The 10,159-nt window shown below is 40.8% G+C and overlaps 1 annotated feature.

The window, feature by feature from the left end:
• Positions 9,217-9,760: an enhancer, noted in NCBI's record as "NANOG hESC enhancer chr2:23014247-23014790 (GRCh37/hg19 assembly coordinates)". NCBI's record gives its function as "activates a minimal SCP1, AML or CMV promoter by ChIP-STARR-seq in naive H9 embryonic stem cells {active_cell/tissue: H9 hESC(naive)}" and the evidence as "EXISTENCE:reporter gene assay evidence [ECO:0000049][PMID:30033119]".

The following is a 10,159-nucleotide window of genomic DNA, read 5'->3' as shown; positions in this document are numbered from 1 at the left end:
TCTAAAAAGGGGAGGAACCCTCAGTTCTAGGAATTGTCTGCCCTTTTCCTGGAAAACTTATGAATAATCCACCCCTTGTTTAGCATATAATCAAGAAATAACCATAAAAATACCCAACCAGCAGCCCTTGGGGCTGCTTTGCCTATGGAGTAACCAATCTTTTGTTCTCTTGCTTCTCTAATAAACTTGCTTTCCCTTTACTCTGTGGACTCCCCGGGAATTCTTGCATGAGATTAAAGAACCCTCTCTTGGGGTCTGGATTGGGACCCCTTTCCAGTAACAGTTTCAGGCATCCACTTGGAACCTAACCCCATGGATACTGCTGGGCTACAGTACCTTTGTTGGAGGGTCTCCTCAGTGCTGACAGCAGTGTCCTTTGCTTAGGCTGGGCAGAGAATAGCCTGTGGGATGCTTTTTGGCCTCATCAGAGCATCCGTCACCTTTCATTCTCCCTGAAATATGACCCCTTCAAGCAGAGAGCCCTTCCTCCCACTGCTGTCTGTGCTGGGGCTCTGCATGAAGCAGGTGTCCCACCTGGGTGGTCCTGTGCTGCTGGGGACAAGCAGTGAACAGATGGTAAAGATGGGGGCAGGGGTATCTTGGCTGTTGAACAGAGTTGTGTAATTTTCTGATTTCCCAAGTGTTTTTCCAAAATCTTGCTCTCTGACACAGGAGTTAAGCCTTTAATTTTGCAGGGAGATCAGAGCTAAAACTGAGTCAGCCCAGGGGGAAGCACAGAGACAAACCCTCCTAACTCAAACATGTGAGGCTTGCTGGGGAAAGAGTAGGTTGCATTGGCAAAGGGACTCCTGGGGGACTTGAAAGAAAATGGGAATTGTGGTAAATGTGCATTTAGGTGAAAATCTGGGAAGTGCATAGCTGGACAATCTTGTCACTGCTCCAAATGTCCTCCCATTTCCAATGGCATCTTTCTTTCAGTCTTATTATTCATGCCTTGAACCTCAAAAATGACATTATACAAAGTAAAATATGAAGCTTTTTTTTTTCTATAACCTTCAGAGAATCAGCATGTTAACTATATACCCCTCAAATGCACAAACTATTATTTGCAATCACTGGGACATAAGGACAGTCTGGTTGAGAAGAAATAATGCTAGGCTAGGTGTGAAAAGTCGTGGTTCAACTTAGGGACTCATCACTCAACCCTGTGACCCAGTGAGCAAGAGGTTCTTGAATATTCTGTATTTCACCTGAAAAGTAGTGTTGAGGAATTCTACAGCATATCTTGCCTCACTTTTTCATTGGGTAAAACGTAGCACTTTTATCCAATGAATAAGTGAGGGAAGATATGCTTTTTATGCTTACAGGCCAGGCGTGGTGACTCACGCCTGTAATCCCAGCACTTTGGGAGGCCGAGGCGGGTGGAATACATGAGGTCAGGAGTTCAAGAGCAGCCTGGCCAACGTGGTGAAACACGGTCTCTACAAAAATTAGCCAGGCATGGTGGCATGTACCTGTAATCCCAGCTGCTGCTCAAGAGGCTGAGGCAGGAGAATTGCTTGAACCGGGAGGTGGAGGTTGCAGTGAGCCAAGATCCCACCACTGCATTCCAGCCTGCGTGACAGAGTGAGACTCTGTCTCAATAAACAAATAAATAAATAAATAAATAGCATATAGACATATTCTGTGGGCTAGAGAACAACTGATTATCATCCATGCTGATTTTCTTTGTTTGTCTCCCATGTGTCTGTGGAGCAGGGAAATAATGGCAAGAAAAAATAACTGAGTAGTCATTGCCTGTTCTTCCACGGCATTCCTCTTGGGGGAGTGTCTCCAGTGTATTTTGACATTTAATTTTGATGTTTTACTGTCAAAACAATAGAATATTTATTAAATCTAAAAATACCATTCAGAATCCTTCCATCTTAATGCAAATGTTTAATTTCTGTTATATTCACTTTTGGTTTACATTTTCATATATATGTATAGTTTAAATAGGTGCAATCACATTACACTGTACTTTTTTTAGTTAACATCATATGGTAAACATTTGAAGCATTCTTGCATGTTTCTCCCTAGTCTTTATAATTACTATTTTCCTAGAGTCATGATGGTGCATCAAGTTGACAGATCATACTTCATCAACCCCCTCTTACTGGGTGTTTATATTACTACCACTGCTTGGGCAGTGAAGCCTGCAAAAGGTGCTTTTTATCCATCTTCATAAATGTGGCTATGGAGTGCAGCAGCTCGAGAGCCTGCAAGGGATGTTGTGGATTCTGGTTCCCACATTAAGGAGATCCAAGCTGGCCTTCATTATAAGGGCTGCATGACTGAGGTTGGGTACCGCAACCCTCGACTCTTCCTCTCTGTTCTCTCTTTTAGGTTCCTCTCCATGAAAAAACTAAAAAGCAAATCAAATCCACTGTGCACAGGATGTAAAACCTATGTTTTCCAAAAGAAATCTAATATGTTTGAATGAAAAATTCTCTAGAGTATCAATTTGATTTAACAAAATGTATTAAGGGGATGCTATATGGTAAAATTGCCGTGGTTAACCTCAAAAGCTCTGACTCAGAGAGACCTGGGGTTATATTTCTGCTCTGTTCTATGATGACTGAATAGCCACAGCAAGTTATTTCATCTTTCTCAGATGCAGTTTCCTCAGTTGAAAAATGAGAAGCCCATGATTTAATACATAAAAAATATTTAGCACATCTATGGCACAGAGTTACTGTAGAATAAAGCATAGCTATTATTATTGTTGTTGTTTTTATTATGTGTCTTCCAGGCTAAGCAACTTAGGCAAGTTATATTACTCACAGAAGCCTCTGTTTCCATATCTATAAAATGGAACTCATACTAGTATCTACCTTTTGATCTGTTAGAAAGATTCAAGAAGGCAATGCATGTAAATAGCTCAGAATAGTGCCTAGCACAAAGCAATCCTTTGATAAGTGTGAGTTATTTTAGTTTTGCTTTTAATGATCAGAGCAACCTGGCTAGCCCTGTATTATTCTCCATCCTTGTACTGAGAAGGAAATGGAACCCCAGAGGGTCTCGATTACCTGTCAGTCATACATCTATTGGATGTAAATACCAGAGTTGAAACTAGGACCAGCTTGACTTCAAAACCCATGCTCTTCCCATTCTTGCAAACTCTGGGCAATTCTATATGAATGAAAAAAGTTCTTGATTGTCAGAATTCCATAATGTAGTGAGAAGAACTACTAAGCATGAATATCTAGGATGAGAGATGGGGCACCCTGAGGACAGAGGAAGATGTGGGAGCCAGTGCTGGGAGGACCAGAACAGGATGAGTCCTGCTTGGGGAAAGAGAGACTGGGGAGGCCTTGTAGAGAAGGTGACCTGTCCTTGGTCTGCCACTGCTCCCTGAACTGGTAGCAATTGTGAATTCCAGGAGAGCAGTAGTCGAAATGAACTTAATATTTCTTCAGATGAGAAAAGGTGCCCTGAGGGAAGAAAAATCTGGATGGGCTTTGACGTTCAATTTCCAAGCACTTCAGCTTCCAAGAGAACACTAAAGACACCTTCCTCACCTACTTTTCTGCTACATTTCTCATGCTCCCTCTTCTTGCCCCACCCTTTCCCTGCAGACTGCTGCTCCTGCCACAGGTAATGGATTTGGGGAAACAGAATTTCTGACCTAGGCTTTTTTTAGTAGGAAGGCCAAAGTGGAGGGCGGAACAGGGGAGAAGAGAATGAATGACAGAATGAAAAATTGCACCTTCCTGCTTGCCTCTTCTTTCACTCATTGGCAGCCAGTTTAATGGAAGGAATTGTATTACATTAAAAACAAAAAAGAAAAATGTTAAACAACCACCACCACCACCCAGTAAAATCTCTGTCATTTGGATGATCATTTTGCTTTGTTGGAGAGTTAAAAAGCATCTCTCCATTTGGTGCTGAATTAGTATTTGGAATGGTCTGTCTTTCGGCACTGGCTGTCCCATTGCATTTGCCTGCAGGGGCTCCTAAGGACATTCCTAAGTGCTGTCTTTTGAGTAAGTTGGGAAGAATGAAGTTGGGGAGGCACTCCACAGAAACCATGCGGTTTCATCTCTTCCACTTTATCGGATAACACCAAGGGCAACTTGTTTAAGGTATCAGGGCAGACATGAGCTGCCATTTCCAGACTCACTGGGTCAGAGCTTCTCGGCTTGGAAGTATGTGGGCGTGGCCCTTGGATGACCCCAGAAGGTTCAGTGGAGCTGGGAATTCAAGTCCACACATAGTTTTGCATATTAGTCCATACTTTTGCCTGTGTGATGATAGCAGCTCCATCACATTTGCCCCCTTCTGTATCTGCCTCTGCAGTTGAGCTGTGAGCTCCTTAAAGGAAGATGTACTTTATTTGGCACAGTTACTGGTCCCCGGAAGCAGCTCAGTGCTAGCACAGCCGAGTGCGTGGTAACAGCAAGGGTTCTGGGCGGAGGCTGCCTGGGTTTTAATGCTGGTTCTGCTCCCCACTCTGTGACTTTGGCCAAATTACTAAACCTTTCAAGCATCAATTTCTTCACCTATAAAATCAGGCAAATGTTTAGTGCTTATCTCAAAGGGCAGGTTCCTGGATTAACTGAGGCTATTCCAAGCAACACTTGAAACCTTGAACCCCTTCACTAACTGGTACTCATTACTATAGTTACTTTTATTGTTGCTTTTACATTTTAAAAAACCATAGAAATGAGAATGGGAACTGTGCATTTGAATGTTCTGTTTTGCTTCATTTTCTTTCCTTCCTGTTCTGAGTTTGTTTGGACATCACAGGCTATGATTTCTTTGGACAGTGGGTTTATGGGTTATCCCATCTGACATTCTATATATTTACTTGCATATTTATTTATCACCTGTCTTCCTTTGATAGCAGGCAGGGGCTTTCATTCTGGTTTGTCATCGCATGGTGCATGGAACATAGTAGTGAATTAGGGACTCAGTGATGGAAGCCATCTCTGGGGTTTTACATTTTTCAGTCTCAGACACTAGCAGAGAAAATACCATGTCAATTCTAAGTTCCAAAATCCCAGGGATGGGGGGTCCTTGGCCTACTTTGGGTCAAATGCCCACACTGTGTACGGGATGGGACCACATGGTAATGTGGCCCTGGTGAATGTGTAATGGAGGGAGAGGAGGCAACCCTAGGACCAAAAGGCTGTGCTGAGTAGATAAAATAGTAGACGCTGAACAAAAATTATACAGTTCTTTCCTCTAAGGAGTTTACCTATAACAATTTTATCCCTTTCTCTCTAGTTTTGAATTTAGGAAGGGCAAGGCCATCTTGACCCAGAAAAGCCCTTTGTGCATTTACCTGAAAGAATATCACTTCCATCTTATCCTACAATCAGGCAGCAAGTATTTACTGAGTAATGATTGCCTGCCAGCAGCATGCAGTAAGTACCCTGTGATGTAGAGAGATAGACATGCAAAGCAGAGAAATAGATTTGGGAGTCATTTGCATCCTGGTGAGAGAGGAAGTGCTGCAAGCAGATGAGCTCTCTGAGTAGACAGGTGGGGAAGGGAAAGAAAACAATTCACAATCTCAGGAAACTTCACAGAAGGAGAGGGGTTGGCCACCATGTGCCAGCTGGAGCTGAGTGAGGACAAACTTCAGGGAACCGTGGTTCTGCAGGGACCTGGGACACAGGAGGAGTCTATCCTCGAAGGAGCCCCTCCCACACATGCTGCAAAGAGAAGGAGACTGATAAGCCTGTGCTTATTAGCATCTTGAGGACACAAGTGCTGTTTTGCCTACATTTGCTTTTTCACTGTCTAACACAAGCTTCTTAAATCACCCCAGGCAGTACACATGTGAATAAAATTTCCAGTTCTTAAGGTACCCATTGCAGCCTTTAGTGGTCGTGAAGAAACAATACCAATTTCTCTGCCCTCAAAACTGAAAGGACAAATGGTACAGTGTTGTTACCCTTCCTTGTGTGATGGTGATTACTGTTAGTTATCTTAACAAGCCTCTATGAGGCATCTTTTGTGCTTTTGACAGACCTATAAACACAATAATTTCAGCAATACTTGGTGTCCTTAGGGATATTCAAGCACACAGAATTCTTGTAGTGTTCGAGCTAAATTGATAGACTTTTAAAAATGATTGACAATTACCAATAGTTGGAGGTTTTAAAGCTTATTTCATGTACTCCATGAATGCACTGCTTCAACTTCTATTTCTTAGAGGGCTTATGATTTATCCACTGCAGAAAAAACATTTCAAAAAAAAATTTCAAGGGAAATTCGGTGAACCAAATAAACCACCTTTGGTCAGATACTTGTTTGATAACTGAATCACATATTGTTTACTTGGTTCACCTCTGTGAACCACCCTACCATGCCAAAGGCAAAATTATTCATCCACAGAGCACGGATTAAGCACCGTAAGATGGAAAGGACATGTTCTTTGTACTTAGGGAAGTTAACAACTAATAAATGAGGATAAGACAGCTACACAGATAACTGGCAACAGGTACAAGGCAACGGGTGGTAATTACAAAATGTCTAGCATATTTCCCAGCATGGTAAAAATTAATATTTTTGAATGAGTAAATAAATGAAGGCATTGACTAGAAAAGTGTATGTGATTTCAGAGGAAAGAGAGGGAACCTCATGAAATGATGGCGTGTACCTTCCTATTGAGTATGGAATTGGAGAGGAAGGAGAGGGTTTGGGGGTATAGAGATGAAGGGAGGAAAGAATAGCACAAGGGAGAATGTAGGCAGAAGCATTAAGTTGGGAACTGGAGAGACTGGGGAGGCCATGCGGGTAGTTTTCAGCCAAAGGCAGGCAGAATTGCCCAGAGGAAATAAAGGATCTTAGGAAGTCACGATATTTATCATAGCTAAACATAGTGTACTAGGAGACTTGATTCTCATTTATACAATAGATAATGAGCTTTCTCTCTGGACTTAATAAGTCTTAACAGCATTCAGACTATCTCTGTACATAAATTACGGTATTGTATGGGGTCTCCAATAACTTTTTGTTTCTTTTACAACCATAAGCTCAAGCAAAGTAGAGACAATCTACAACATTTAAAATAACTTGAATAAAGAAGACAACAGTATCTACAACTATGTGTATAGCATTCTTATTGGAAATCCTGTAAAAAATATAAATTACATACTTTAAACAAAGTGGTGTATGGTGTCTTTTGCACATTATCATGGAAGCCTTTTGGTGTGAAGACATAATTTATATTCAAAAAGATTCCATGATTTCAAATTCATCAACTATATGAAAGGAAAATATTCCACATTTGTTCTCTTATCTTTTGTTTTGAACTCATTGGATAAAATAGGCCACCTCTTTCAAGCATAGGCAGTCTGAACATTCTGAGATGGATGTCACCATTGGAGAGCTTCAGGGATTTTGCACACCATGTGTCTACATTGTGATTTTCTGTAACCTTCCTCCTTAGTGTGTGATAATTTGCTCAAAGCCTACATATTATCAGCTGTTGGAAGAGGGGAACAGAAGCATAGATGACTGACGGAGATGTTTCATTTGAATAGACCAACAAGTCTAAACAGACAACTTTATTGGCTTACTGAACTGTAGACCACCACTGTTCATATTGCAGCTTGGGCCATCAGTTGGCTTAATAATATTTAACTACTTTATATTCTATTTGAAATAAATAGGTAAATGAATCTCTAAATACAGTGTGTCAGTGATGTATCAGTGAGATATCAAACTAGTTTAAGTGAAAGAGGCCATCACTTCTTATCTCAAACAAAGACAGCAATTTATTGCTTGCTAAGTGAAGGAGAACTTGGCTTGTAAGCCCGCTCACTCTGAGCAAAGCAGAGGCCTAATGTGTAGGGGTTCAAGGATCCTGGAGTTGAGGGATTGACAGAATTTCAAAAGCGAGGGTGTTTAGATATTGGTTGACCTTTAGCTGTGAAAGTGTGGTTACTTAAAAATCATTGTTACTCACTCGCTGATTTTCAGAAATATTGGGCTGTAACTGATTGGTTGGCTTTTGGGAACATGGTGAACCATGCAAAGTTGTTACTAATCAATTAGGGTGGATTTAAAGTTGGTTCTGGTGATTCCTTGCTGCTGTGGCCCAAGAAAAAATCACTGCTTTCCTATAAGGGTAGGAACTTTTGTTGTCACTAGAAACCGTTGTTATCATCCTCCATGTCGAAAATTTAAAACTCTTGTCTGACCTTTTTTTCCACATTGAGGAATACAGTGAGAAAGGGATAAAATTCTTTTTACAAGATAAAGTATGAAAAAATACCAAATATTAAAATAGGCTGTCTGAAGTGTTGACATGTGAAGATAACAAGTGATATATGAATCGTTAACTTTTGAATTAAAATTTTCTGTCCCTGGCTATATTATAGCCCTGAAATAGTTTGACTGTGTATTTGCATTGCCTTCCAGATTATATAGAGCACATTCATTTACTTCAGGTCTGCTGGAGAAAAATGGACACAATAAATTGAATTAGTTTGACATATTAGTTTGGAAGAAATAAAGGCAGAAAAAAGTGTCAGGTTGAAATAATAATTCTTTTTATTTCCCTTTTGTAAAACTTCTCCCTTGCAAGAATCTTGTATTCAAGGGCTCTGTAATAATGAGGATGGTATGAGGGTCATTGACTGGTGTGTGGCCCAATGAAGAGTGTGAACAGGAAGAAATAATTTGAGAGTGAGAAAAATGGTTCTTCAAAGATTAAAAAAAATTTATTTTTATTCTGCAAGTGTCAGTCTAGTATGAAGCATTCAGGTTTTCTATATGTACTAAGATAAGCACATTATGTTGTAAGGTTCTTCTTGAAGCTTAGCTACTAGTAGCCATTGAAAGAGGGGGACAGAAACATGGGTGACTGAAGATGTTTTATTGAATAAGCCAACAAGTCTAAACAGACAGCTTCATTGGAGACCAACCTTCTGTCTATTGCAGCTTGTGGTCAGCCTCATCTCATAGTGTCTGATTTTGTATTATTGGAGAAATCTGTCATATCATAACCCTGAGACCATCCTGAGGACTACTAAAATATCCTTTCATTTTTAGACATCTATAATTGCTAAACACCCATGTGGGTGTTTAGCAATTATAGATGTCTAAAGACCCCACAGTTTTGTTAAGAAGAGAGTAGATGCACGCCCGTCACATTCAAGAAGAAGCGGACTCTGGAAATGCATAGGAAGGAAATGTGGAAGGGGTGAAGAGGGAATCAGCCCAGGGAGGTATTAAAACAGTCATGAGGGGTGTTTGAAATGGGCCAGTGGAAGGGGATTTCAGGTTGTAACAAGAATATCAGCTGACAGAGCCACATGGTCAATAGGAAAAGAACAGGAGATGAAAGTGGCAGCTCTACCTCAGGGGCGGTGCCTGAAGCAGCTTCTTTCTGTCAATCCTGAAAAATGCAGTGAGGAAGAGGTAGAAAGGGCGAAAACAAGACAGAGAGATAAAGGACCCTTTCTTTACAACATTTCCCCCCTGCTGGAGCTACACCTTTGAGCCCTTTAAAGCACTTACAATCATTCTACTTAACGTTTTCTCACTTAATTGCATCTTATCCTGTATTGTTCTCTAATTGTCTCAGGTGTGTCTAAGTCAGGCTTCCTAGAGGGCAAAACTGCACTCTACTCTCTTGGTTCTTCATGGCAGAGCTAAGCACAAGGCTGATAGCATAATTGAGCAAGCTCTCATTTCAGACTTGATTGGCTGACTGATTAAAATGGAAGTAAACAGCTTAGGTAATTATTTTTTCCATTGCTAAGAAGACTGGAAGACATTTATTTCATAACTCTTGCCAGATGAGTCTGAGAAACAGTATGGTTGCCTTGAATCCTTGGGCCTCAGTTTGACAATATGTAAAATTTGGTGATGAACTTTGGCAACACTAGCATTGCCCCAGAAAGTAGGAGTTAAATGGACTGGGTGGGACTCCAGCCTGCTCTTTGCAAAGTGTTGGTAGCATCCTGTGGAGAAGCAGTGCACATAGTTTTGTGCGTGGAATTTTAATGCCTGGGAAGAGCCAATATGAGGTATACTTTTTTCCTGCATTGAAATTCCTTTTTTAAAAGTGGTGAAATGGTGAAAGCATCTTGAAAAATGTTTTACTATTTTACTTTTGGTTCCCAAATTATGCACTGCCTGGATTTGTGTACCCCTGGATAATGAGGGAACATCACAGCCTAGAAGATAACAATAACTC

The sequence above is a fragment of the Homo sapiens genome, chromosome 2, assembly GCF_000001405.40.
Source record: "Homo sapiens chromosome 2, GRCh38.p14 Primary Assembly".
Taxonomy (NCBI): domain Eukaryota; kingdom Metazoa; phylum Chordata; class Mammalia; order Primates; family Hominidae; genus Homo; species Homo sapiens.
The sequence above is the reverse complement of the archived record's forward strand: the minus strand, read 5'-3'. Positions and strand labels throughout refer to the sequence as shown.